The following is a 26,971-nucleotide window of genomic DNA, read 5'->3' on the forward strand; positions in this document are numbered from 1 at the left end:
CCTAACAATTTTTCTCCATACCCAGGGTCCTCTAACCCAAAATTTCCCTTTCTTACCTGTGGGCTCTGCCCCGCAGGGATTGTCACTGTCTTGGCTGCTCTCTGGGAGGGAGAGGTCCGGGAAGTTGAGATATCGCTCAGGGACAAAGCCTACCTCGCCGTGCTGGTTCCGAGCCTGCTCACCCAGCAATGTGAACAGATATTAGACTTACCTCAGCAGTCCATGACCCTGGCTCTCTTCTACTCAGGCTTCTAGCTTTGCCTAGAAGGGTCTATGGAGGCCACAGAGAAGTCCCTCCTACTGCCCCCAACCCAAGGTCAGAGCCCGGGGTCCCATACCCACCTTGACCCATTCGTCAGCATCTCCCTCCTCTATGACCTCCAGCCACTCACCCTCCGTGATTGTCAGCTCATCCTCACGCCCTGCCTGGGCCACACACGAAGGATTCAGGACTTGGCTGTCCCCCACCCTTGCCCATCAGAGGTCCCCACCCCCATTCATACCTGATAGCGAAATACCACGTGTGCAGGGCAGGGGAGGGCCCTCGTGGCCAGGGCTTGGGGGGCAGGCTCCTCAAAGAGCTCTCCCGTCTCCTCACATTCCTCAAAGTCAGAAAGCTCAGCATCCTCAGCCTAGAGGGGCAAAGAACAGACCTCATATGGGGCCCACTCTCAAGCACTGGTTCTATCTCCCACTCTTCCATCTTTCCTCTAAAGGACACCATGGATCCTCCAAGGCAGGTGCACCCATCCACTCACCATGTACACAACCACAGTCACCACAGAGCAGGATAATACTAACAGTAATAGAGTTACAGTAATTGAGTGCATACTATGTGCCAGGTACAATGCAAAGTATCTTGTGTATATTGTCTCATTTAATCTTCATAATGACCCAGTGTTAATAGTTTTGCACAACTATTAACCTCACTTTATTTACAAGGAAACTGGGGTTCAGAAAGGTTAAGTCACTTTTCGAGATTGCACAGCTCATAAGTGGAGTGGCTGGTACTCAAAGCCCTTACAGACTGCCCCAGAACCCTACTTCTTAATCATTCTATTATGCTCATAATAAAAATGTACTGAGGACTCTATGCCAGAAATTATGCAAAGAATGATATATGATGATTTCACTTAAGCCTCGTAATAACCCTTTGAGTTAGGCACAACTGTGATTCCAGTTTTATAGGGTTTGCCTTCCACTGGAGTTTTTCCCTTCTAAGTAAGGATGGGTAGTGTTGGGGGAGGAGCTCACGGTTGGAGAGAGGTCCCTCTGGGACAGCCGAGCCTCACTGAGCCGCCGCTCCTGCTCCACCTCATCCTGGGCCTGGGTCATGGCTGGCTTCAGCCAGCGCTCCACATCTAAGCCAGCCCCCTGCAGCAGGGCCAGCCGGGCAGCCCCCTTCACCTGGCTCACCTGCCATGGGGAGGAAGTAAGTTAGTGGAACCTGGCTGACGGCAGTGTTTACTCTCTGCTTCTCCCTTCCTTCCTCCCACCATCAGAAAGAGGAGTAGAGGGAGTGGGGCTTGCCTGAGAAGGTGGGATCTCTAACCTCAGGGGTGTGCCTCACCTGTGCCCGGCGGATGCTCTCTCGCACTTCCTGTAACCTCTGTTCTATGCTTGGAGCCTCCCGCTCTGAAGCCTGCTGCCGCCTCTGCTCCAGTCGTTGCAGTACCTGGTTGGGAAGGCAGAGAACAGGGGTGGGTGGAAATACTGTGGGGCATGACTTACTATGGGACTGGTACTTTGCTAGTTGCATCACATACATTATGTCATTTAATCTTCCCTATGAGGTGGGTGCTATTATTGGCCCTACTTTAGTGATGAGGAAATTGAAGTCCAGAGAGGTTAAGTCACTCCCTTACCTGGGGCTACAGAACTAGGAAGCAACAGAAGAGAATTTGAACCTATGTCGGTCTAGCTCCAAAAACTGTGCTCTTAACTATTGTGCCACACTGTTACCTTAAAATACCTTTCCCTCCCCTCTGTAGCTCCATGACACCCTCAATGGCTCCAAGATCCCCTCTCTCAGCTCTTCTTGCTGAGACAAGAAGGTGCACATGACACCTGTGCCCCCCCACCTCACCCGATGCCCATGGTTCTGGATCTTGTAGTCACGGGCAGCTCGGCTGGTCAAGCGCTGAACCTCTTTCTCCAGGCCACTCTTGCCAGCCACGCCTTCTGCTCCCCACTCCAGGACACACACCTGAATGGGTCAGGGGGTGCTGTGAGGAGGACCTGAGGCTGCTCCTTCTCTCCAGTTCCCTCCTTTTTCCACTCTATCTTGACCTCCAAGGACAAGGACAAAGAGAAAGGGGCACATGCCTACAGTCATGGACACAGGTAATGTGGACACAGAGATACAGAGCTTCAGAAATGGGATCCAGGTCAAGGGACAGAGGTAGAATGAAAAGGATGGCGCAGTCAAGTGACTGAAAGGTGGACTGAGGTGTGTTTTTTTGTGTGTGTCCTGTTGGGAGGGAGGTGAGCTGGAGTTCTGAAACCCCCTCTCCACGGTGTACACTCACTAAGTTAACACAAAACAAAGATAATGGAGGAGGCCTAAATCATAATCGCCTTTATATGTGGCCTGGTTCCAACAAGCAGGAAGATCTCACCTGATCAGTCCCTGCTGGCTGAAACTGCTGAGGTGGGGTGGGGGAAAATACACCAGGCTCCTGAAGAAACAGCTTCAGGTCTTGCTCCCAGCTTACCTAGGGGTTGGGAAAAGTCAAAGTCACTCATTCACTGACTCACTCTCCAACCCTGTCCCTAGCACTTCTTGGAAGAAAAAGGACAATGTGTGAAGCAAAGAGGGCTGCATTGGGAGGGAAGGGTAAAAAGGATCCCCGGGGAAGCTCTTAGAGGCCACAGCCCTCACCTGGGAGGTTGTCTGCTCCCCGCGGTGGGCATGCTCCAGGATGACCTCTGCGGCTTCCAGCTCAGTGTGGCTCAGGGAGGTCAGGGGGTCCCTCAAGTGCTCTGACAGCTCACTGACCAGGGCCTAGAGAGAACCCCAAGATACTGACACCACCCTTCCCCCAGACCTCTACTGTAAAATAGGCTCGTTCCAGATTTGACAGGTGATGGGCATGAGGTATAGGAAGGAGAGAAGAAGACATTCTTCATGAGAAAGGCCCTCGTGTGCAGAGCACTTAGAAGTTTAAAACACGTTCACATCCATTCTCTCCTTTGAGCCCCACTAGTGCTATAAGATAGGCAGAGAAAGGGTTATCCCTGATGAGGAATCTGGGGTTCGGAAGAGTTTAAGTGTACTGTACAATGCCATGCAGCCAGCTAGGAGCAGAACCAGAGTGCATGTATGTATCATCTACTCACTCTAAACAGACAAGATCCCCTGCACCACCCACTGTCATGGGGATCAAGAAGCAGGGGGAGGTCCTCCTTTCCCTCCCTGCTGAGGGATAGGGGTGTCTGGGTTAAAACTGGCCTTGAGCAGAGCTGGCAGTTCCTCCTGGTAGTAATGGTCGAGGTGGGCATTGGTAGCCACCAAGTTAAGCAGGTACTCATTGCGGGCTGCTTGCAGCTGCTGGGAGTACTGGGCTGACTGGGCGGACAGCTAGGAGGGTAAACTGATGTCAATAGGAAGCCCTAGACCCCCAGAGTCCTTCCAAGACCAATTGAGAAGCCAGATCCAGAATGGATTCTCACATTATTGAGTGCTTACTATGTGCCTGGCACTACACTAAAAATGTTGCATACACACAACTCCTGCTCAAAATCTTCTAGTGCCTTCTGCACGCATTTAAAATAAAATCCACTGTTCCTTACCATGGTCCACCACGTTCAATATGAGCTGGCCCCCGCAATCTCTCTGACCTCTTTTCAAGCGCTTGTTCCCTTGCTCACAGTACTCCAGCCATACTGGCCCTCTCTCAGTTCCTCGAGCCTACAAAGTTATTCCCACCTCAGACCCTTTGCACTCACCATTTCTTCTCTCTGCAATGTTCTTCCCCTAGATCTTTGCAAGGCCAGCTCCTTCTTGACAGTTAGGCCACCTATTCAGAGAGGCCTCCCTCTAAATTCTACCCCCTTGTTATTCTTTATCATAGTACCTTGTTTTATTTTCATCTTAATCTAAGTATTTATTTGCTGTCTGTCTCTCTTAACCAGACTGTGAGGGCAGGAACTCCATTGGTAGTGTTCTCCACTGTATCCATAATGTCTAGAACAGTGCCTATTATATACAGATCCTCAATAAATGCATATTAAAGGACTGAAAAAGAAGGGTATTCTCTCCATTTTATAGAAGAAAATAAGGCTCACAGAGATCAAGTAAATTAACCAAGGTTACCCACCCAGGAAGTAGGAGAGCCTGGATTCAACCCAGTCTTTCATACATATGCACCTATGTTCCAAACCACTAGACTACTCTGCCTCCCTCTTCCCTGCCCCCACTCATGCCCTCATCCCTCGAACCTTGGTGCTCAGTTTCTGGAGACTGGTCCGAGAGTGGAAGATCCCATGGTCACTTCGGTTTAGCCTGTGCAGATGAGAGAAAGGAGTCAGGCCCACCCCAAGTGGGAGAATATGAGATCAGAGTCAGGCCCAGCTTTGGTGACTTGGCTCCACCCCTAGACAGCCCCACCTCCCTGTTCCCCAACCTTGGGCTTCCTCACTCTCCATGACCCCACCTGGCCTGGACATCAGCCGCCTTCTCCTGTGCCAAGGCCCACACACGTTCCCGCTGCCCATACAGCTTCCGACTTCGGCTCAGCTCCCGGACAGACTGCAGCACCTCAGCCTGCGCCCTCTGGAGGTTCTCTGTTCCCTATTGGGATGCATACACAAAGTCCTTACCTAGACCACCTTTGGTCCCAAGCCAGCTCTTCCTTCACCCCAACCTCTGAGCCATACCTTCCTAAGCACCTGCTCCTTGGCGCTCCGCCCTGTACCCCCTGCTAGGTCACGGTATCGGTCAGACGCCTGGAGTCGGGTTTGGCCCCCAGCCACGGTGGCATCCAGCAGGCAGCGCCAGGCACCGAACACTGTCCTGCCCCTCCCCAGAGAAGGTCTGTGTTGAGGAGGAGAGCACTCCACAGCTTCATGAGACCACCCCCACCCCCTGCCCCCTGACCAACACCATGGGAGACAGAGTGCTTTCCCATCCTCCCTTGTCTGGGAGCCCATCAATCGATCAGCCCATTAGCTCAGCCACAAGCCTCACTCCTGCCCTCCACCCCACCCACAGTGTCCTTGCTGGGTCAGCTCCTCTGCTGCTGCTGTGTCAGCTCTACCTACAGCTCACGTGCCTTCCCCACTTGCTAGGCCTTCATCCCCACAGGTTCCTGGGGCTGAGCTCCCCATCACTTTTTGGCCTCTGTGGCCCTCCCCCTCCATAGGGCCCACCTGCTGTCCATCTCACCGCTCCGGTGCCCTTCCCTCTTCAGGAATGGGCCAGCCAGTTTCTGGAGTGCCTGGTGAAAAAGCCATCACAGAACCAAGTTCCCTTTCAAAGACCCACCCCAACTGGCAGAATATGACATCAGAGTATAATCATACCATTCTTTGGGTACATTATGTGCCACTTGCTTTGCTAAATGCCTTATAGTCATTAATTTGTTTAATCCTTACAACAACCCTACATGAAGGTAAGGTATTATTATTATTCCCATTTCACAGAGAAAGAAACTGAGGTCAAGAAAGGTTAAGTAACTTGTCCAAGGTCACATGGCTATAATTACACAGCAGGGATCTGACACCAGTCTGCTTGACTCTAGGCATCTGCTCTTGACCACAATAGGGATAGGTATGGACAGACATTACTGGTGATATAAGAGAGGCTGGAACAAGAGGTAAGGTCCAGAGAAAAGTCCCATACCTGCCCATACTCCCGTTCAATGGCTGCCCTCTGCTTGCTGTAGGATCTGCGGAGATTGCAGGTCGGGGGTGAGGTGGGGGATAAGGTTATGTTTGGTCCTGTTCTCCCATCCTCAGTCCTCTACTCTGGGCAGGAGGGAGCGGTTGGGGGGAGCCAGGTTCCTAGAGTGTAACTACACCCAGAGGGAATGGGACTGATGGGAGTCCTTGAGATCACCTCGGGCAGCTGCAACACAGGAAACCCTCACCTTACTGCCCCGGGCCCCAGCAGGATCCTCCCCACCCCAGAGGTTCATCTGTAGGCTTAGAGGTGAAGACTGATGGGGGCCTGGGTACGATGTCTGCCAGCCTTCCAACAGGTCTGGAAGAGGGAGAGGGATTCTGCCCTAAGGTTGATTGTGGGGTTGGGGGCAGTGGTGTGGAGTCAAGGGCTTTGAGGGAGGGTTCCTGTGTGTTTATGTGGGTGGGAGGGGGTTGGGAGGGGTTAGGTGGGGGAGCATTCCTATCCAGTATCTGGAGAGGCCAGGCCTAGGGTGAGGGCTGTGGATGGGTCGGCTGGGGAGCTCTTGGCCCCTGTTCCTCCACCCCAGCACATGTATATTGGGGAGAAGTGGCGCACAACGACGAAGGTGAGTGTAAATGAAGGGGGTTGGGGGAGCTACCTGATGTCCTCCAGCAGATCCGCCTCCCTCTGCTGCCAGGTCTGAAGGATGCTCAGCTGTTCCAGGAAGCGAAGCTTCACCTCCTGGGCCGGCTTCACCTGTGGGGGCAAAGAGAGGATGAAGACCCCAGCGCAAGGACCTAAAAAACACTCCGCGCAGGGAGCGGTGAGGGGGCGGGGCCGGGGGGGTGCTGAGCTCTTTCCTCTGTTACTTCTGGTTTGGGGTCTGACCCCTTCCGACTTCCCGTCTCCTACCACAAGTCGGATGCCCCCTTAGCTCCCTCCGTTCCCCCAGCCCGCCAGGAGTCCCCATTCAGGGCCAAGCTCACTTTTCGGGGCGGCGGCTGCATCTCCGCTCCAGCAAGGCGGTCAGCCACTGGACTCCGGAACTGGAGGAAGCCCCGCCCACTATGGAGCCCCGCCCCAGGCCAGGTCAGGCCCCGCCCTCTGCCCGCCCACGACTTGTCCGGCGACGTCGCAGGGCGCGGAAGCGAGAGGGGGCCACCGAGAAACTAAACCTGTTACTGCTGCGAATACGCCGGCAGGGTCCGGGTGGCGGGGCGGGCGGGGCGGACGCAGCGTCCGCTGGGCGGTGGGAAGAACCCCAGGCATCTGAGTCAAGACGCCTAAGTTCTATTTGTAGTGTAACCACTGATTCAGCCTGTAATTATTGATAATTATTCATTTGCATATGTAGATCCCCAGTCCCCGAGCTAATGATGAGGAATGGAGAGGAATTCAGTGTGTGACCAGGGAAACTGAGTCACTGGGCACCTGAGCAAAGATGCATCTGACGAAGAGAGGGCTGGTCCCAGACCTTTTCCTAATTCCCGCTTAACTGGAAAAGCCAGCGTGAGCGGGGTGAGAAAGATGCCTGGATCCAGGAAGGAACCAGGCCCAAAGGGAAAAAGACTTGGCCCCACTGAAAACTAAACGATACCAGTGAGTCGGCGAGAGCTGGGAGATGCGCAGGAAGCCCCTGCCACCTTTAGGATCTTCCAGCCCTAGCACTGCTTCCTGAGGAGCCTCTCCCCAATTCCTCATCCTCCTCACCTAAGCTTCTTTGGCTCAGGCACCTGTCCCAGTACCCCTGACATGTCTCAAAACTCCAGATTCACATTCCAACTCCCCACTGACACCTCTGCTAGTATATCTAATAGGAACCTCAACTTTTAAAGCTTTTAAACCTCCTTCAACCTGATCCTCCCCCCGTAACGTTTTAAATGGCACCGCATTTCCTCCAGTCAGTTAAGTCAGAAACCCAGAGTCAATGTGCCTTCTCCTACCCCTACATTCTATCCATCAGTAAGTCCTACAGGTTCTATTTCAAACAACAATAAACAAACAAAAACCTCTTGATCCACTTCCCTCAATTTCCAAGACCACCATCCTAGTCCAAGCCCCCATTATTAGACTTCTGGTCTAATATCTGATCTCCTTGCTTCCACACTGCCCTCACCCCAACCCACTGTTCACACAGCACTCAGAGTGATCAACCTTTTTTTTCTTTTTTAAAGGGAAATAAGATCTCATAATTTACTTGCTTAAAATGCACTTGCTTCAGAATAAAATCCAAATAGAATCCATGGCCTTCAAGGCTACGCATGGAAGACCCTGCTGGTCTTTCTTACTTCAGCCTGTACTCTCCTCCCACTGTCTGCTCACTGTGCTCCAGCCTCTTTGCTGTTCCCTCAGTAGACCAAGTCCCTTCCAATGCAGAGTTCTTCATGCCTGCTTTCTTTCTCCAGAATCTCCTCCTTCCAGCGTTCCATCTGTCGCCTCCAACAGCTTCTTTCCCTTACTTTGCAACTCTTCACAGATGCCTTCCCCATCCACCCATCCAAAGACCATCTCCACAATCACTCTTTTTTTTTTGAGATGGAGTCTTGCTCTGTTGCCAGGCTGGAGTGCAATGGTGCAATCTCGGCTCACTGCAACCTCCACCTACCAGGTTCAAGTGATTCTTCTGCTTCAGCCTCCCGAGTAGCTGGGATTACAAGCACGTGCCACCACAACCAGCTAATTTTGTATTTTTAGTAGAGACAGGGTTTCACCATCTTTGCCAGGATGGTCTCAAACTCCTGACCTCAGGTAATCCATCCCCCTCAGCCTCCCAAAGTGCTGGGATTACAGGTGTGAGCCACTGCGCCTGGCCTCCACAATCACTCTTCAAGCTCATCACTTTGGTTCAGTTTCTTCACAGCACTAAACTCACTTGTTCAAGTACTGGTTTATGTGTTTATTTGCTATTTTCTGTTCCCCTCCACAACGGAGGATTCATAAGAGCAGGGGCCCTGTTTGTTTTGTTCATGCTATATCCCCAGACCTGGCACCAATTAGGTGCACAATACATATTTGTTGAATGAATGAATGAGAATGGTAGTCTTTTGGTTCCCAGGTTTATTGACAATTACTCATCTATTTTTGACTCCCCGAGTCCCAGCTCCCAAACTCGCTCTCCCTACTCCAGGCTTCACGGTAGTCCCAGAATGTAGGAAGTGGGACAGGATAGACTTTAACATCACCCAGGCCTCTGGTTTCCAAAGCATTTTTTTTCTTTAATGCAGTAAAACCATTCCTTTAAAACCCAAAATCTCTCATGGAACCCCTACGTATCAAATATATAAAGCAGGAGCTGCCCTTGTTCAGGGATAATATGTGGGGCTTATGGCTCTAAGAAACACAGTTTGACATTCACTGCTCTCCTTACTTCAGTTACCTCATGGTATAGATAAATGGGCTGGGCCCAGAGAGGGGCCATGACCTGTCCTGGGACACGCAGCCACTGAAGCCTTTAGTCCAGTGCTCCTTCCACAGCACCACACTGGATTCTGGAGTCTTTCCAGCCAGGGCAGAGGAAGCTGCAACAGTGCCACGATAAGAGTTTCTGGGTCTTCTGGTACCTACCCTCTCAGACTGCTGGTCCTAGGGTCATGTGAGGGGCTGGCTGGAGGGTGGACTGGAAGTGCATGGGGGTTGGGTGGGGAAGCCAGGTGTCTGTGTTGGAAGGCCAGTGGGGCTGGGGGATTGGGGGCTGGATGGCTGGGAAGGACTTCCCAGGCCTGCAGTGGTCTCTCCTTTCCTCAGGATGAGGCTGCTGAGCTCCTGGAGCAGCTGTTCCTCTAGGGACCCCCGTGCCTGGGGACTGCTCTTTGAAGGGGGGCCTGGAGGGGGCTCAGGTGGCCTCTCCTCCTGGCCAAGGGTGCTTGACTTGGAGAGAAAGGGTTGATCCAATGACTTCTGGCTGGTGAGGGGGTTCTCTGGCTTCACTGTCCACTCCCGTGTGGTGGAGAAGGAGGTAGAAGTGTCCTGGATCAACTCAGGGAAGGCCCCTACTTCCTCATACACTGGCTCCTCGTACACAGGCTCCTCCAGCTCCTCTTGCTCCTCCACAGACCCCTGGGATGACTTCATTGGCTGGATGGGAATGGAATGGCAGGAGTGGGCACATAGTTAAAGTTACCAGATTATGAATCACTAACATTTACTGAGCTCTTCCTCTGGGCCAGATGCTGTAAAATACTTGGCATGTATGATTCTGGAACAACCCTGTGCAGTGGGTTACACTGAGTCAACTGAATGCAAAGGGGTTAAGTAAGTTGCCCAGCATCACATAATGAGTGAATGGTAGAGCTGGGGTTTGAACCCAGGTCTGTCTAACTCCAAAATGCATTCACTTCATCACTTTCCTTCTATTTCACAGATTCTGTGACAACTTTTTCCTTTTTTTTTTTTTTTGAGACAGAGTTTTACTCTTGTTGCCTAGGCTGGAGTGCAGTGGTGCGATCTTGGCTCACTGCAACCTCCGCCTCCCAGGTTCAAGTGATTCTCCTGCCTCAGCCTCCCAAGTAGCTGGGATCACAGGCATGCACCACCACACCTAGCTAATTTTGTATTTTTAGTAGAGACGGGATTTCACCATGTCGATTAGACTGGTCTTGAACTCCTGACCTCAGGGGATCCACCCACCTCAGCCTCCCAAAGTGCTGGGATTACAGGCATGAGCCACTGTGCCCGACCTTTCTCCTTTTATTACTGCATCTTACATCCCTCATTTTCCTCATTCTTTCTGGCCTCCTCTCTCTCTCTGTCCTGTCCCTCTCCCTCTCCCTTTTCCTCGCTCTCCCTCTCTCTCTCTCACACACACACACACCCTGATGGCCTACACACACACACACACACACACACACACACACCCTGATGGCCTACACACACACACACACACACACACACACACACACCCCCTGATGGCCTACATGAGGAAAACAGCACACCCGGGGCTCAGGCAGCACAGAGGAATACAGGGTTGACAGGCACACCGCTGGAGCAGGCACAATACTCACAAAGAACATGGACAGGGTCCTCCGGTTGTGTAGTCGCCGCTGGACACAGGTGGGGTGGGGACAAGGGGAAGGAAAGACATAAAGACACAGTGAGGACTAGCAACAGGAGACAGGGGTGGGGAATGGGGGTGAAGAAGGCAGAAGGGAGGGGGACAGTGAGCATAGGGTGGCACCAGGCTAGCAGGCACACCACTGCCTACTGCAATGTGACAAGGGCTACACGACAGGAATCGGGTTGGGGCAGGGTGGGGTGCCTTACCAGGGTCTGATTGGCAGAGAGGAGGGTGGCTCCACTGTCATCCCCACGGATAGGCAGCAAAGGCATAGTGCCAAACTTCTGACGGGCAAGGTCAGAGGAGGAATGGCGTCGTAAGACCACTGGCTGCTGGTCATCGTGCTGGTGGGAGCGTGAGGGGTTGGCATCAGTGGGCATGAAAGGCACTGAGGAGGACAGCTGGGCCCCAGGGGGACCACAGACCCAGCCCTCAGCCTTTTCTTTCCCCTCACCTGGGCTTTAAGGATGCTGGTGGTCCAATCCCACATTTCATCCTCGTCAGTGCAGGACAAGTAGCTGGGGTGATCAGAATGGAATCAGAGGGAGAGAGAGGGTCACAGCTATAGGAATGGAGCATACAAAGAGGGAAGAGAAAAGACAGGGTGCAGAGGTGGGCCAGAGGAGAAGCCAGGGCAGGAGGTACTCACAGGTGCATCTTCTCTAGTATCAATGTGAAGCCCCACCTGGGAGACAAAGAACAGTGATGGGGCAGTCAGAAAGGGCAGGGGGGTGAAGGCAGGAAGGCCCTGGAAGTGCGGGCTGGGGAAGAAAACTCACGGTGTTGGGGGCTTTAACTTCTTGCGGATTCCCAGGTAGACCTTGGCACCTTCCAAAGGCCACTCCCGTTCTGGTTTAGAGCTCTGAGAACAGAAACAGAGTCAGCGAGATGGAGAGATGAGAGATCATGGTTAATGAGGTCAAGACGTCATGGAAGCAATGGGGTCTGTGGTCACAGGGTCACAGAAGTCGGGGGCAGGGAAGCAATGAGATTGATGAGAGTATGGGCTGTGGAGTCAGAGGGTGGGTGCAGTCATGGCTCCTCTCCATGGCCACCCAGCATCCCACACCTCTGGCCCCAGGGCCTCACTTTCTTCTCCTTGAGCAGCAGCAGGCAGCGGCCACGCAGCAGAAAGAACCTCTCCTGGAAGCGGCTTCCCAGCAAGCGAGGTGGCTCCTCACGACACCGCAACAGCCCCACCCGTGGGCTCTCACGTCGGATACCTGGGCATAGATGGGCAATCCTGGGTGGAGGATGCTAGGGGAGAGACCTGGGGGATGCTGGGCAGAGGAAGGAGGCTCACCTGTGAAGAGGCAGCCAGCTTGGGCCAGGGGGACTTTTTTCAAGAGCAGGGAAGCTGAGCAGGGCTCTGGGAGCTGGCACCATTGTAAAGCCTGCTCTAAGACCTTTTCCTTGGGATGCAGTGGCCGCTCTTAAGGGGAAAGGTGAGGGTTTATATATCAATCAGAATATCCATACTAAGCCCCCAGCTCTCACCAGTCATTCATTCATCCATTCAACTATCCAACCACAGACATTTATTTTTCACTGTCTCTATGCCAGGAACTGTGCTGGCCCTGGGATACGGTGGTGAGCATGATACACATGGCCTCCCTTCACAAAGCACACAGTCTAGTGAGGGTACAGACAAAAAAATAATTGCAGACAAATAATTGCTTTGCAAGAAACAATAAACTGAGCAAGCAACAGGACAGCAACTGAGATAGGGTAGTCAGGCAAGACCTTTCAAAAGTGGCACTTGAAGATGAGACTCAGAGATCTGAAGGATTAGGAAGAGCAAGCCATGCTAAGATTGGGTGGTAGAAGATTTCAAGCATGACAAAATGCAAGAACAAAGGCTGGCAATCAGGAAAGATGTATTTGGGGAACTAAACAGCCAATGTAGCTACAGCAAAGAGGATAGATACGAGAACAGGTGATGTGAGATGAGGCATGGAGGACGCAGGGGTCAGACATTCAAGGCCATGTGGGCCATGGTAAGGGACTGGAATGATACTTTAAGTTCAATGGGAAGCCACTGAAGGGTTTTAACCATAGGAAGGATATGAGCTGATTTATGCTTGAAATATTCACTTGGCTGCTGCATGGAAAATGGATTGTAGGGAGGCAAGCATGGAACATTGTCCAGCTATCCCCTTTCTGGGGCCACACATTTTAGTGGTTACTGTTGACAGACAAAAACATAATGATGACTTCAACTAGGATGGTGGTAGCAGTGGAGATGGAGAGAAGTGATTGATTCTAATGGAATCGACAAGACTAGTTGGTGAGTTGTGTATGAAGATGACACAAAGGGAGGAGTCCCAGAGGACTCCCAGGTTTCTGGCCTTAATCACTGGGTGAATTGTGGTACCATTTACTGAGTTGGGAAAAATTGGAGAATGGCCTAGGCTTTTTTTTTGAGGAAAGGGGACTAGACATCATCTAAATTGGTCTTAGATGTTTTACATTTGAGTTGCTTGTCAGAAGTGGAGGTGTTGAGTAGGCATTTGGATATGTGAGTCTGGAGCTGAGAGGAGAGATGTGGGCCAGATATACAAATTTGGGTGTCAGGTTATTAATGGCATTTAAAACCATGAGAATGGGTTAATTCATCCAAGGAGAAATGTAGATAGATGAGAGAAAAGGGCCTAGGATTGAGCCGTGGGTCTCTCCAACATTTGGAGTCTGGGCAAAAGAGGAAGAGAAGCTCCCTTTAAGGTAGAAGGTAAACTACGAGCTTGTGGGGGTCACTAAGGCCAAGATGGAAGAATACTGAGAAAGAGGGAGTGAGTCAACTGTGTTGAATGTCCCCTCGCATGGATGAGTGGATGAGTCATCCATGAGTTACCATTCATATTTGGTAACATGAAGTCACTGATGACCTTGACCACACAACCACACACACGCATATACACATGCATGAACACACAGGCGTGGTCATACTCACCCAGCTCCCCATGCTCGCGAATCTCAAAAGTCACCCACAAGTCCATCCCAGCTGCTGTCCCCCGCATCTCCAGTACCTGGTTAGTCAGCTCCTCAGCAGTCAGGGTTGGGGACACCTGGGGTCAGGGCAAGAGCAGAGAATTCATGCTGGTCAGGCTATTGCCCCTGGAACCTCACTATCCTCTTATTTCCCCTCCAGTCCCCTCAGGACCAACCTTCAGGGTGACACAGTTGTCTGGGAGCTGCTGCTCTATATAAACTTCCATGATGAGGTCTCCAGCCTGAGACAGCTGAGGGGAGGGGTAAAAAAGTCAGAAGGGCAAAAAAAGGGTGCAAAAGACATCAAAGTCAGAGGGTTCCTCGTGTTGCCTCATAAGTGACTCTTCCAACAAAGGTCTCCTCCCAACCCCAATGTCACTCAGGCTCTTAAAAGGGAGACCTCTGGGAGTGGCAGAACTGCATCTTTAGGCTGCACATGTACTTCCCAAGGCATCATAGTGGTTGGGAGGACAGATGTGGAGTCAGACTGCCTGGTCTCTCTGCCACTCGCTACAGGGTGACCTTGAATAAATGACCCGCTGAACCCGTTTATTTGAAAAAAATGAGATTACCTACTTCATGGAGTTGTATCATACTAACATGAGATTAGAGATGCTTGGAATATAGTAAGTCCTCAGCTATGTTTGCTATTATATTTATTATTATTATTCTCACTGCTTTGTCTGACTTTACTAACTCGTCCTTGGATCTCTTACACTTAGTAGTATGGTCTCACTTGATGTTCCCACAGAAAACCAAAACCAACTATCCAGTGCCAAGATTATCACCAGGAAGAATCCTCATGGTGGAACAAATGGAGCAAACCCTAACCAAACCCCACTCCCCAAAGCACTTCTCTCATTGGGTTCCCCCTGTCTCCCAAAGAGCTGAGTGCTAGTGTCCAGAAGGACAGGCTGGAAACTTCCTCAACTGGGCAGAAAGTCAGCTTCCTGTCCTGATGTCTCCTCCTGCCCCATTCAGGAGACTAAGGTCAGGACGAGTTACCTGCACGTCCTTCCAGGTGGTGATAAGACTGACCTCCAAGTCAATCTGAGCTACCTGGTCAGAATCGATCTGTGAAAGAGCCAAAAGAGAGTGTTGGGGTGCTGGAAGAGGATCTGCCGGGAAGATCTCAAGGCCAAGGAGGACCTGTTTAAGAGGGCTGGAGGCCAGAAGAGCTAAGAACCAAGGGGGTGAGGATGTTGGAAGTGAAGTTGTGGGAGAAGAAGGGCCAGGGCTCTGGGAGGTAGTTCCTGGTATAGCTGGCCACCAGAGGCCTGGGCTGGGGGCTTGTTGGGGTGATCAGGATCCAGAGTCTCTGGGTCCTGCAAGGGTAGGGGAAAGGGGTTGTGGGTTAGGGGTCAGGAAAGCCTTACATCAAAGACAGAGATGTAGCCATCAATGAGCTCTTGCAGCACTCGCACCTCGTGCTCCCCTCGCCCATCCGTCTGGAACACGCTGGGTGCAAACAGCAGAGCCAAGTTCCGCGTGCACATCTGGTTTAGAGCCGCACATTTCTGCACCCTGCAGAGGGGTGCCACGGTCTTCATCAGTGTAGCCACTCATTCAGCAAACACTTATTGAGTCCCTATTGTATGCCTGGGCTAAGTGCTTGGAATACAGCAGTAAGATAATATTGGCCTCAAGGAGCTCCCAGTCTAGGGGAGACAGATAAGGCAAGAATCAGCAAACTTTTTATGTAAAGGGACAGATAGTAGACATTTTAGGCTTGCAGGACAGACAGTCTCTGTTCTAACTCTCAGCTCTGTTGCTGCATCATGAAAGGAGCTATAGAAAATATATACATGGGCCGGGCGCGGTGGCTCACGCTTGTAATCCCAGCACTTTGGGAGGCCGAGGCAGGCGGATCACGAGGTCAGGAGATCGAGACCATCCTGGCTAACACGGTGAAACCCCGTCTCTACTAAAAATACAAAAAAAATTAGCCGGGCGTGATGGTGGGTGCCTGTAGTCCCAGCTACTCGGGAGGCTGAGGCAGGAGAATGGCGTGAACCCTGGAGGCGGAGCTTGCAGTGAGCCGAGATTGCGCCACTGCACTCCCGCCTGGGCCACAGAGCAAGACTCCGTCTCAAAAAAAAAAAAAAAGAAAATATATACATGAATGGGTGTGGCTTTACACTTTATGTACAAAACTTTATTTACAAACATAGGCAACAAGCTGGATTTGGCCCATGGGCCTGTAGTTGACCAATCCCTATAATATAGTATATTTTTATTATTTATTTATTTTTATCTTTTATAGAGATGGGATGTCTCACTATGTTACCCAGGCTGGTCTCCAACTCCTGGGCTCAAATGATCCTCCTGCCTTGGCCTCCCAACATGTTGGGATTACAGGTGTGAGCCACCATACCTGGCCCCTGTAATATAGTATAATCAGTGCAATACAGAAATGGCTTCTCCCCAGAATTGCTCAAAGGCCTGTCTCCCTAACAGATTGGTAAAGGTAGATGTGCATCTTATTCATTTTTGTGTTTCTTATATCTAACCCTTTCCCTGACATCGCATAATAAAACAAAATAATATTGATTGCTAACCATTTCTGAAGGCTTATGACATGCCGGATGTACTGGCATGTACTATAGTTAAGAATTTTATGAATTTTAACTCTTTTTGTTCTTTTTTTTTCCTTTTTTCTTTTTTCTTTTTTTTTTTTTTGAGACAAGATCTCCCTCTGTCACCCAGGCTGGAGTGAAGTGGTACAATCTTGGCTCACTGCAACCTCCACCTCCTGTGCTCAAGCGATTCTCGTGCCTCAGCCTCCTGAGTAGCTGAGATTACTGGTATGTACCACCATGCCAGGCTAATTTTTGTATTTTTAGTAGAGGCTGGGTTTCACCATGTTGGCCAGGCTAGTCTCAAACTCCTGGCCTTAGATGACCCGCCCACCTTGCTTCCCAAAGTGTTGGGATTACAGGTGTGAGACACCACGCGCCCAGCCTTCATTTAACTCTCTCATAAACTATGAGGTGGATATGATTCATTACATCATCCATTACTTCCTTTTAGAAATGAAGAAATTGAGGCCCAGAGAGAACAAGTAACTTACCCAAAGTCACACAGCTAGAATGACGGCACCAGATTAAAGCCTAGGTCTGCCTGATCCCTCAAATCCATTCTCTGAACCTTAGTGCTATGATACCTTCACTTAACAACTGTTTGTGGAATGAACAAATGAATGAATGAATGAATAAATGAATGAAAGTGCAGGGTCAGATTGAAGTGAGGAAGGGTTCTGCAGAGGGTCTAGCCATACTGACCGATAGAGATGCCCAATGAGGGTGGCCAGTGTGCGGCGGTTGACCCGCGGCAGGCAGCCAATCACATCTTTATATTTCTCCAGGCGCTGATTCTTCTGGGGCAGCTCTGGGGATGGAATGGAGGAGGGTTGGGGAGGACCCGGGAAGAAAGAGTGGCAGCTGGTACAGAGGGAGGGATTTTTAGGCACAAATGCAGGATGGATGTGTCTCTGCCCCCTTCCCACCTCCCCCTGAGCCAAGTCTCTGGATGATCCCCCAGGGTGGGAAGTGATGGGGCGGAGGGCTGCCAAACCATGGATTCTGGTGGGGGAAGGCAGAGATCCTGGTTGGGCCTTGGCTCTCAGGGATCTTAGGAATACCAGCAGCCTCCCTCCAGCGAGGCAGCAACCGTGCAGAGGTCACAGGGTCATCGAGCTCACGAAAGAAGCGTTTGAGTGTGTCAGTGACATCCTCCACAAAGTGCTCCCCTGGTCGGAGCTTCACCGACCGGGCATCCCGACGGAACTCAGCCAGGAGTCTCAGGCTGCGGGCACGAGCGCCCCCTTTCCGGTATACACCTTCCAGCCGGAGCCCTGAGGAGAGCCAGCCGTCTCTGCTCACCATGGTGCAAAGGCTACCACCACCCACCACGGCCCATCTGTGGCCTCCCTATGTGGTATGTGGCTGATGGGGGCATGGGATTCAGAGAGGAGGAGATCTATGCCTCCATGTTCTTGATTCTCAGGTCTCTGCTGGAGTCCTCATCCTCAGAAAGTCCTTCCCTGACCTCACTGTCACAAGTACAACCCCCATCACACTGTATCTCCTCACCACTTTTATTTTTAAATAGCACTCTCTGAAATCACTTTATAGTCCACCCTTATTATCTGTGGATTCCATATCTGCACATTCTCCTACTTGCTAAAAGTTATTTGTAACCCCAAAATCAATACTTTTGGCATTTTCATCATCATTTATGAACAGAGTGAAGAAAAATTTAAGTCCCCTCCCCAATGTGCATGTTCTTACTCTAAACAAGTGTATCCTTTTAATGGTATATTTACAGCCATATTTTTGTGCTTTTTGTTGGTGACTTCACTGTTTAAAATGGCCCAAGTATAGTGCTGAAATGCTGTCTAGTGTTTCTACGTGTGAGAAAGCTGTGACATGCCTTACAGAGAAAATACATGTGTTAGATTAGCTTGAGTTACAGTGCTGTTGGCCTTGAGTTCAGTGTTAACAAATCAAACAATATATATAAAATAAGGTCTCTTTACACAGAAAAACACACAAAACAAGGATACATATTGATCACTTGACTAAAATGTTATTGTAACCAGAGGCTAGCAGGAAGCTAACCCTGTATTTCCTCTGGGGCAGTGATCCAGTATTCACTAATTAAATGTTTGCAGTGACTTAGAGCATAACTACCACAAATAACAAGAACAGACTATATTTGTTTTCTTATTTATTACCTAAGAGATGGGTAATAAATAAGCTTCCTAGGACCCTCCTAGGACCCACCCTGCTTACTGCCATATCCCCAGTGTCTGACACACGGTAGCAGCTCAACCAATGTATGCTGACTAAACAATGGTGGTGCAGGAACCTTGGAGGGGAGGGGATGAACACCCAGATTCTTTCTTTTTAATTGAGACAGAGTTTTGCTCTTTCACCCGGGGTGGAGTGAAGTGGTGCCATCTCAGCTCACTGCAACCTCACCTCACAGCAATTCTCCTGCCTCAGCCTCCTGGGTAGCTGGGATTACAGGCACCCGCCACCATGGCTGGCTAATTTTTGTATTTTAATAGAAACAGGGTTTCACCATGTTGGCCAGGCTGGTCTTGAACTCCTGACCTCAGGTGATCCACCTGCCTCGGCTTCCCAAAGTGCTGGGATTACACACTTGAACCACCACGCCCGGCCCCATATTCTTTCTTCAGGGCTTTCTCACTGGGCCTCTGACTTATTTCCTCCTTCGAACACGAGAGAGGCTGAGAAGAGGATAAGGATGTAGCGAGTGGGGGAGGTCACTGAACAAGGCCACTGCCAAGGCATGGAAAATGTTATTAGCCACTGACTTTCCATGTCCCATGACTAGTAACAATTATGTGTATGTTTGTGGAGGCGCTGTTTTTTTCCTTACAGTCAGCCCTCTGTATCCATGGGCTCCACAACTGCAGATTCAACCGACATCAAAAATATTTGGAAAAAAACCCCAAGATAACAATATAACAACAACAAAATACAAATAAAAACAATACAGCATAACAACTATTTCCACAGCACTTGCATTGTATTAGGTATTATAAATGATCTAGGGATCTGCCCACCTTAGTTTTCTGTGAATTTTCCTTCTTAAGAGTCCAGCCTTCTAAAGAGGGTTCACAGGAGAAATAGATTCTTTTCGGTCCTTATTTAGGATAAAAAACTTACAAAGGGCCAGGTGTGGTGGCTCACACCTGTAATCCCAGCACTTTGGGAGGCCAAGGTGGGTGGATCACCTGAGGTCAGGAATTTGAGACCAGCCTGGCCAACATGGTAAAACTCACCTGTACTAAAAATATAAAAATTATCCAGGTGTGGTGGGGCACGCCTGCAATCCCAGCTACTTGGGAGGCTGAGGCAGGAGAATTGCTTGAACCCGAGAAGCGGAGGTTGCAGTGAGCTGAGATCATGCCACTGCACTCCAGCTTGGGCAACAGAGCAAGACTCCATCTCAAAAAAAAAGCAAACAACAACAACCAAAAAAACTCACAAAGAATTATGGGGGCCACTTGCACAGCTGACCATTTAAGCCCAGAAAACCTCCCACACAGAATAATTCTGCTTAAAACTTCTGGGAATGTGCTGCACAGCTCAGCTCTCACCTCGCAGCTGCTCGCTGTTTGCCATGGCTCTGTGTCCTCAGTCACATTTTCAGTGCTCCTCCCCTACTCCACACTCTGACGAAACTTCTGAACACTTACTACATGCCAGGCCCTGCGCTCAAGGCTTGACAGGCATTGTCTCACTGTCACAATTATCCTGGAAAATGAGGACCGTTGGCCCCATTTTACAGATGATGGAACTGAGGTTCAGAAAAGCAAAGCAGCCTGCCAAGAGTCAAATGACCAGCTGGGGTCCAGCTGCAGTTTCTGGAGGCAAAGCTCTTCCAGGCTGTGCTCACGTTCCACCCTGGCTGTGCTCACGTTCTCCACCCCCTCATCACCCCCACCCCCCACCCCCATTGGCTCAGTACCAGCCAGTGCCTACTCACCATGCTGGGTAACAAAACTGATGCAGGCATCCACGATGATGGGGATGTCACCCCGGCTCATCTGCTGCTCCTGCAGCCCTGTGCCGCCCCCACCAGCCGCGCCCCCAATGGCTGCGTTCCATGCCGTGAAGTCCAGCCGGCCCTCTCCTTGCAGATACAGGGTCCTGAGACCCCAGAGGCCTGAATCAGAGCCAGCTCCGACAGGCCCAGATGCATGGGGACCAGACTTCCCAGAGCCACCAGCAGAGGGCAGCAACACCCAACCCAAATCATCCTGGAGCAAGGGAAGAAACTTTGAGGAAGTGGGCAATGGCCCAGCAGGCCAGGTTGCAGAGTATGGGCTCTGCTCCAGGAAGGGGAGCCCCAGGTCAAGGGCAGGGGCAATTTACCTTCCTGTCTCCACCAGGACCAAATGCTCTTTCTTATCTGGGGTGTCAGCTGCAGAAACCACACCTGGGAGGAGAATCAGTGGACATTTTCATGATTATCGTCTTCATTATAGAGACTATTATTTATTAAATGCTTAACGTGCATAGATGCCAGGCTAGGAGCATTACAAAAAACGTTCAGTTGAATCCTATGAGTTATGTACTATTATTCCCATTTTATAGGTGACACATTAATCTCAGAAAGTTTAAGTAACTTGCCCCAGATTACTTGCTATAAAATGGCAAGGCTGAGCACAAACCCAGGTCTCTTGTTTCCAAAGTCCTAAAATATTATCTTACATTGTTCCTCTTTTAGGAGAAAGGAAAGCAGTGAGGGCACCCAGTCCCCTCTCCCAGGACCCAACCAGCAAGTGATTCCAAATAATAATAATATTTATAGACCGGGCGCAGTGGCTCACTCCTGTAATCCCAGCACTGTGGGAGGCCAAGGTGGGTGGATCACCTGAGGTCAGGAGTTCAAGACCAGCCTGGCCAACATGGTGAAACCCCTTCTCTACTAAAAATACAAAAATTAGCTGGGCGTGGTGGCGGACACCTGTAATCCCAGCTACTTGGGAGGCTGAGGCAGGAGAATTGCTTGAACCTGGGAGGCGGAGGTTGCAGTGAGTTGAGGAGTTGAGATCATGCCCTTGCACTCCAGCCTGGGGGACAGAGCGTGACTCTGTCTCCAAAAAAAAAAAAAAATAATAATAATAATAATAATAACAACATTTATTGAGCACTTAAAAAATGCTTGTCAGGCTCTGCGATACATGTTTTAGATGCATTACCCTATTTGAACCTCACTACAACCCTCTGAGGAAGGTGTTATTATTGTGCCCATTTTAAAGATGAGGAAACTAAGGCACAGAGAGGTTAAATAACTTGTCCAGGGATATACAGCTAGGAAGTGATGAAGGTGGGGTCTAAAGCTGGGCAGTTTCCCTTCAGAGCTTGTACCTGAAGCCACCATGTTCTGCTGTTTCCCATAAGAACCCCCAAATAATAAAGGTCTGCTTCCATGCACCCGCATGGCCACCCTTCATCCCTGTCCCCCCAAACCTCCCCGCTTACTGATCTCCTGTAGCCGCCGCAGATGCACCATGTCCTCAGGGGCTGGGGGGCCTGGGCCCGGCGCTGAGCACAGGAAGAGGTGGTCACCACGAAGGAGGCCAAACCCTGACAGCCAGAGACCAGGGGCCGGGGCTGTATGGGAGGGGGACCGCAGCCATAGGCGGCCCAGCCGCAGCAGCCCGGGGCCCAGCAGCTGGTGGCAGCTCAGCGGGGAGAACCACTGTAGAGGCAGGGGGAGGACAGGAGAAAGGGGGATGGGGGAAGAGACAAGGAATAGGGGAGAGAAATGAGAGTGACCGGGGTAGCGAAAAGCAGAGAAAAACATGAAGAGAAAGCAGAAGAAAAGCAGGAATGAAAAGGGATGCGAGAGAGCAGAGGAGACAGCCAAGGAGGAGACATGAGATGGTTGGAGAAAGACAGGAAAGAAATTCAATTCAATTCAATTCAGTTTGCTCTCCCCAACATAAAGAAGACCCCTGTGTGGCAGCCTCATGCCCTTAATTGAGGTGTGGGTATAAGAAAGAATACTCATTCTTGTGCAGTGCCGTGATCATGGCTCACTGCAGCCTCGACCTCCCCCAGCTCAGGTGATCTTCCCACCTCAGCCTCCTGAGTAGCTGGGACTACAGGAGCATGCCATCACACCTGGCTAATTTTTTTTTACTTTTTTTGTAGAGATAGGGTTTTGCCATGTTGCCCAGGCTGGTCTCGAACTCCCACCTTGGCCTCCCAAAGTCCTGGAATTACAGACATGAGCCACTGCGCCCAGCCAAAAAGGCATACTCATTCTTTATAGCCAAAAATGCTACACCTGAAGACTCATGATGCCCTGGGAAATCCCACCACCCTAGGGGGCTGGGGAGAAGCTTCATAGAGGAAAGGATGTTTGAGGTTGACTGCAAAGCAGTGCTTCTCAAACTACCTGCAGTAAATTGCAGTAAAGGACCAGGGTTTTTTCCTTTTTCCTTCTTAAAGTCCCAAGCTGTCACTAACCAATAGTGTACTTTCTTTCTTTTTTTTTTTTTTTGAAATGGAGTTTTGCTCTTCTCTCCCAGGGTGGAGTACAGTGGCATGATCTCGGCTCACTGCAACCTCTGCCTCCCGGGTTCAAGAGATTCTCCTGCCTCAGCCTCCCGAGTAGCTGGGACTATAGGCGCTAATGTCTGGCTAATTTTTTGTATTTTTAGTAGAGACGGGGTTTCACCATGTTGCATGGCTGGTCTCAAACTCCTGACCTCAGGTGATCCACCTGCCTCGGCCTCCCAAAGTGTTGGGATTAGAGGCATGAGCCACCACGCCCGGCCAGTACTGTATTTTCATTAAAAATAATATAAGTGGCCAGGTGCGGTGGCTCAAGCCTGTAATCCCAGCACTTTGGGAGGCCGAGGCAGGCAGATCACCTGAGGTCAGGAGTTCGAGACCAGCCTGGCCAACATGGTGAAACCCCATCTCTACCAAAAATACAAAAATTAGCCGGGCGAGGTCATGTGCGCCTGTAGTCCCAGCTACTCAGGAGGCTGAGGCAAGAGAATCGCTTGAACCCAAGAAGCGGAGGTTGCAGTGAGCCAAGATCTCTTCACCGCACTGTAGCCTGGGAGACAAGAGCGAAACTCCATCTCAAAAAGAAAATAATAATAATAATAAAAATGAGTTGCTAGAAAATCTGGATGAAAAAATGAAGAATACAACCCGACCCGCTTTTTTTTTTGAGACAGGGCCTCACTTAGGCTGGAGTGCAGTGGCATGATCACAGCTCACTGTAGGCTCAAACCTCCGAGGCTCAAGCAATCCTTCCACCTCAGCCTCCCCAGTAGCTGGGACTATAGGTGAGCACCATCATGCCTGGCTAATTCTTATTTTTTGTAGAGACAGGGTCCCAGGTTGCTCTCAAACTCCTGGGCTCAAGCAATCCTCCCGCCTCAGCCTCCCTAAGTGCTGGGAATTGCAAGTGTGAGCCACCACCCCTGGCCCAAGCCCTTTTTTTATAATTAGATTCAACACATAAAATTACTATGTCAAATTGCTATAAAATATTCTAAATGCTTACTCTCAAGTTCTGTGCTTATCCTGTCATGGACCATAACACATAGTCCAGGGGCTAGTATGGTGTGACAGTCTTCACAGCACCCTCCGGGTAGCACTGCCTTAAAGGATGGGATAGCTTTTTGGAAAGTGTAGATAATAATGAGAGGAGACTTAAACCTGGTTGGGAGGGCCACGACAGAGCCCTGAAAAGATATGGAGACAATGTGTTAGTGTGAGGAGTTGTAGGAGACCTGGGAGAAGGGGGTCAAAAGCCAGAGCAGTGGAGCATTTCCCATACAGGAGTGCCGGATGCTGCAGAGATGACCTGGTGAGGCTGGGAGGCAGCCTTGGCCTTTGGAAATGGGAAGGCACTGGTGACCTGCCAGGTAGCAGTTCAGGAGGGCATGGGCAGAGGAGGGTAGCTGCAAGGGGTCAAAGGGGAACTGCAGGCTGCACACGACTTTCTGACGCATTGTCAGGAGGGAAAGGAAGGCACCAGGGTGAAAAGTTGAAGATGGAACAGATCTTAGGGAAAAGCTGTCTTAGGATGGGAGAGACTGTCGTCATCATCGTCATCATCACTACCATCATTATTATTTCAACGCCCACATACTGAGGGCTTGCTGTGTGTGGGCCTCACATGTCATTTAATCCTCAACCCTAGGGGGTGAGTCTTTTACGCCCACCCTACAGATGTGGAAAAGCTCACAAGGCTGAGAGTTGTGACTCAAATCCCAGGATGTCTGACTCCAGGGCCTGAATTTTCAGTTTTGGGAATGGCATACAGGAGAGAGATACTGGCTTATCTAAGAATGGAGAAGCTGGGAAATATGAAGGTAGCTTTGCCTCCGGGCCTGCTGGAAAACTGGAGCAGAGGGTGGGTAGTGGGAATCAGAGCCAGCTTCTTCGTGGGAGGAGGCATTGGCACAGTGAGGTTTGGGCCGTGAGCTTTGCAGACAGAGGCCTGAATTTTAGTCCTGTGCTCTGCTGCCTCCTAGCTCTGTGACCTTGACCAAGTGAATTCGTAAACTCTAAAACTTAGTTTCCTTATACTTAAAACCTCACCTCAGAGAGTGGTTGTGAAAATTAAATGAGATATCGAGTGGGCAGTGCTTAACACAGGGCCTGGCACAGAATATGTGCTCAGTCACCCTTAGCTGTTAGTGGAAGAAGTGGCTGTAGGAATAAGAGAGGAGAAGATGGGAGCACGTGGGGACAAGGAAAGCATGAGATGCTGCAGAGGGCGCTCTCCTGTCTCACCTTGCCCACAGCACTAGTCCAGGCCTCCAGACTGTCAGCTCCATCTGTGCCAAAATGCTGGATCCTCCCCCCAGCGAGGATGAGCTCAAAGGAAAAGGGGAACCTGGAGAGAAGATGAGGTCAGGGAGGAGGATGGGACCAATGAGAGGGCTGTCAGGCTGGAGGTTGGGAAGAGAAAAGGGGGAAGCTCAGTGGTCACAGAAGGGCTATTACCTGTCACCTGGGTCAGTGGGTGGGGGGCTCACACCCAGACATACAATATCCTGGGGCTGTATGAGGCTGAGGGGTTCAGGGCTGTTTTCCGATGCAAACATTTCCAGAGCTGCTCCCAGCACACACCAAAGGCGCGGGGGAGCTAAGGCAGAGGGAGATAGTCAGGGAGCAGCAGACCTCTGCCCCCACTGTCATAGTTCCAGTTTACCAGATATTTATTCTGTGCCAAGCCCTTTGCCCATATATGATCCCATGTAATCTTCACAATAACCCTATGAGGTGTTATACTCAGTCCTGTTTTGCAGATGGGGAAACTGAGGCTCAGTTTCAGTAGCTTGCCCAAGACACATAGGTAGGAAGTAGCAGAGCTGGGATTTGACCCAGACAGTCTGACTTCAGAACAGATGCTCTTAACTATCACCCAATGCTGCCACTTGGCATGGTCCCTCTCTCACCCCCAGGACCCCAGCCCATTCCCAGGCATGGCCCCACTTTCCCATCCCAGCCCTCTCCTCTTTGTCCCTCTGCAGTACCCTCACACCCATCCACTTTCTGTCCCTGTATCCTCCCATCCCTTGGCTCCCCCTCACCATCCCGGCCCCTGCGAGGGGGTGAGGGTCCAGCTTTGTTGCTGACGGGACTGCAGTACAGGAAGCCGCTGTAAGTAGCACGCACCACCACCTCATTGTACACACCAGGGGAGGGGTCTGCAAGGGGAAGGGGAAGTAGTCAGGTCAACCAAGTGCAACGGGATAACCTGACCCCCTCTGGGGAAGGGATGAAATGGAGAAAGACAGTGGGACCTGACTCCACTGCCAGCACAGCCAAGTAGAGCCCAATGGAGCTGGATCCCTCACTACCCAGATTGCAGAAGAGAGAGGCAGGGGGTAATGAGACAGGGAGGCCTCTGGCCCAGCCCCTGCCCACTGCCTCTCCCTACCAGCCAGCCAACCAGGCTCTTAGCTCTGGGTGAGCACCTCAGGGCATGTACCATCCTGTAAGGGTCTCAGCCCCCTGGCCTGACCAATGGAGATGAGTGTCACTAAGCTGATCACTTCTTTGAGAGATCACACTGTCTCCAGGGAGACTAGTCCTGACCTATGGGTCGGCCCTGTCAGGGGTGGACCAGCACTAGCACCTGGAACACCCAGACCCTCCCCAGCCATGACCGTCATCAGCTATCACATGACATCAGGAGATAGGCCCTGGAGGATCTGAGGGTTTGGGAAACTGCCCAGGCTGGGCCATTGTGATCAGCTAATTGGGGCCCCTTGGAAGAACTGAATCATAGGTTGGGTCTGAGAATTCCTGTAGGGGAGAGAGGAGGCACTTGGGGGAATGACCTGAGGGCAAGAGGCCAGGGCAGCTGCCATCAGGGGCTGGGGGGAACCAGGGCTCCTCGCCTTCAAAGGCCTCAACACAGAGGAGCTGGGTCATGTTCTTCAGCAGGTTGGGTCTTGCCACAGCTGCACACAGTGCCTGCAGGGAGGGAAGGGCCTCTGTCAGCCCCAAATCCCAAACTGAGAGCACTGGGGACAGTCGTATCATCACTAAAAACAGTCCCCA

At 50.9% G+C, this 26,971-nt stretch overlaps 2 protein-coding genes across 29 annotated transcripts in view, besides 3 other annotated features; both read right to left on the reverse strand.

Moving 5' to 3' along the window:
- FCHSD1 (FCH and double SH3 domains 1) overlaps window positions 1-6,902 on the reverse strand; it is a 12,117-nt gene extending 5,215 nt beyond the window's left edge. For 2 of the 10 annotated variants that reach the window (NM_033449.3, XM_047417861.1), the window contains exons 1-16: window positions 6,832-6,902; window positions 6,504-6,601; window positions 5,843-5,888; window positions 5,371-5,438; window positions 4,879-5,020; window positions 4,656-4,792; window positions 4,441-4,504; window positions 3,452-3,580; window positions 2,882-3,004; window positions 2,619-2,714; window positions 2,087-2,206; window positions 1,571-1,675; window positions 1,255-1,416; window positions 504-632; window positions 343-426; window positions 57-174 (exon numbers count right to left, since the gene is read on the reverse strand). In NM_033449.3, coding sequence (NP_258260.1) covers window positions 57-174; window positions 343-426; window positions 504-632; window positions 1,255-1,416; window positions 1,571-1,675; window positions 2,087-2,206; window positions 2,619-2,714; window positions 2,882-3,004; window positions 3,452-3,580; window positions 4,441-4,504; window positions 4,656-4,792; window positions 4,879-5,020; window positions 5,371-5,438; window positions 5,843-5,888; window positions 6,504-6,601; window positions 6,832-6,852 — 1,642 coding nt within the window. In that variant the 5' untranslated portion in view covers window positions 6,853-6,902. Of the gene's footprint in view, window positions 1-56; window positions 175-342; window positions 427-503; window positions 633-1,254; window positions 1,417-1,570; window positions 1,676-2,081; window positions 2,207-2,618; window positions 2,715-2,881; window positions 3,005-3,451; window positions 3,581-4,440; window positions 4,505-4,655; window positions 4,793-4,878; window positions 5,021-5,370; window positions 5,439-5,842; window positions 5,889-6,503; window positions 6,602-6,831 lie in introns of those variants that run through there. The other 8 variants (XR_944338.4, XM_005268524.6, XR_427781.5 and 5 more) reach the window with 8 other exon arrangements.
- Window positions 4,924-5,502: an enhancer, noted in NCBI's record as "H3K4me1 hESC enhancer chr5:141029007-141029585 (GRCh37/hg19 assembly coordinates)". NCBI's record gives its function as "activates a minimal SCP1, AML or CMV promoter by ChIP-STARR-seq in naive H9 embryonic stem cells {active_cell/tissue: H9 hESC(naive)}" and the evidence as "EXISTENCE:reporter gene assay evidence [ECO:0000049][PMID:30033119]".
- ARAP3 (ArfGAP with RhoGAP domain, ankyrin repeat and PH domain 3) overlaps window positions 8,886-26,971 on the reverse strand; it is a 28,829-nt gene continuing 10,743 nt past the window's right edge. For 4 of the 19 annotated variants that reach the window (XM_005268499.2, NM_022481.6, XM_047417505.1 and 1 more), the window contains 21 exons: window positions 26,749-26,884; window positions 25,996-26,112; window positions 25,406-25,547; window positions 25,193-25,295; window positions 21,908-22,127; window positions 20,795-20,858; window positions 20,406-20,569; window positions 17,527-17,739; window positions 17,168-17,273; window positions 15,263-15,410; window positions 14,892-14,960; window positions 14,063-14,137; window positions 13,849-13,963; window positions 12,202-12,330; window positions 11,988-12,121; window positions 11,678-11,760; window positions 11,548-11,583; window positions 11,353-11,416; window positions 11,105-11,242; window positions 10,846-10,884; window positions 8,886-9,919 (listed from right to left, as the gene is read on the reverse strand). In XM_005268499.2, coding sequence (XP_005268556.1) covers window positions 9,434-9,919; window positions 10,846-10,884; window positions 11,105-11,242; window positions 11,353-11,416; window positions 11,548-11,583; window positions 11,678-11,760; window positions 11,988-12,121; window positions 12,202-12,330; window positions 13,849-13,963; window positions 14,063-14,137; window positions 14,892-14,960; window positions 15,263-15,410; window positions 17,168-17,273; window positions 17,527-17,739; window positions 20,406-20,569; window positions 20,795-20,858; window positions 21,908-22,127; window positions 25,193-25,295; window positions 25,406-25,547; window positions 25,996-26,112; window positions 26,749-26,884 — 2,781 coding nt within the window. In that variant the 3' untranslated portion in view covers window positions 8,886-9,433. Of the gene's footprint in view, window positions 9,920-10,845; window positions 10,885-11,104; window positions 11,243-11,352; window positions 11,417-11,547; window positions 11,584-11,677; window positions 11,761-11,987; window positions 12,122-12,201; window positions 12,331-13,848; window positions 13,964-14,062; window positions 14,138-14,891; window positions 14,961-15,262; window positions 15,411-17,167; window positions 17,274-17,526; window positions 17,740-19,831; window positions 20,174-20,405; window positions 20,570-20,794; window positions 20,859-21,907; window positions 22,128-23,954; window positions 24,052-25,192; window positions 25,296-25,405; window positions 25,548-25,995; window positions 26,113-26,748; window positions 26,885-26,971 lie in introns of those variants that run through there. The other 15 variants (XM_047417511.1, XM_005268498.3, XM_047417513.1 and 12 more) reach the window with 10 other exon arrangements.
- Window positions 13,346-14,545: an enhancer, noted in NCBI's record as "BRD4-independent group 4 enhancer chr5:141037429-141038628 (GRCh37/hg19 assembly coordinates)". NCBI's record gives its function as "activates an origin of replication core promoter dependent on BRD2, P300/CBP, MED14 and CDK7 cofactors, and independent of BRD4, by STARR-seq in HCT116 cells {active_cell/tissue: HCT116}" and the evidence as "EXISTENCE:reporter gene assay evidence [ECO:0000049][PMID:35650434]".
- Window positions 20,656-20,725: a silencer, noted in NCBI's record as "silent region_16459". NCBI's record gives its function as "represses an Ori minimal core promoter by ATAC-STARR-seq in GM12878 lymphoblastoid cells {active_cell/tissue: GM12878}" and the evidence as "EXISTENCE:reporter gene assay evidence [ECO:0000049][PMID:35858748]".

Source organism: Homo sapiens, chromosome 5 (assembly GCF_000001405.40).
Source record: "Homo sapiens chromosome 5, GRCh38.p14 Primary Assembly".
NCBI lineage: Eukaryota > Metazoa > Chordata > Mammalia > Primates > Hominidae > Homo > Homo sapiens.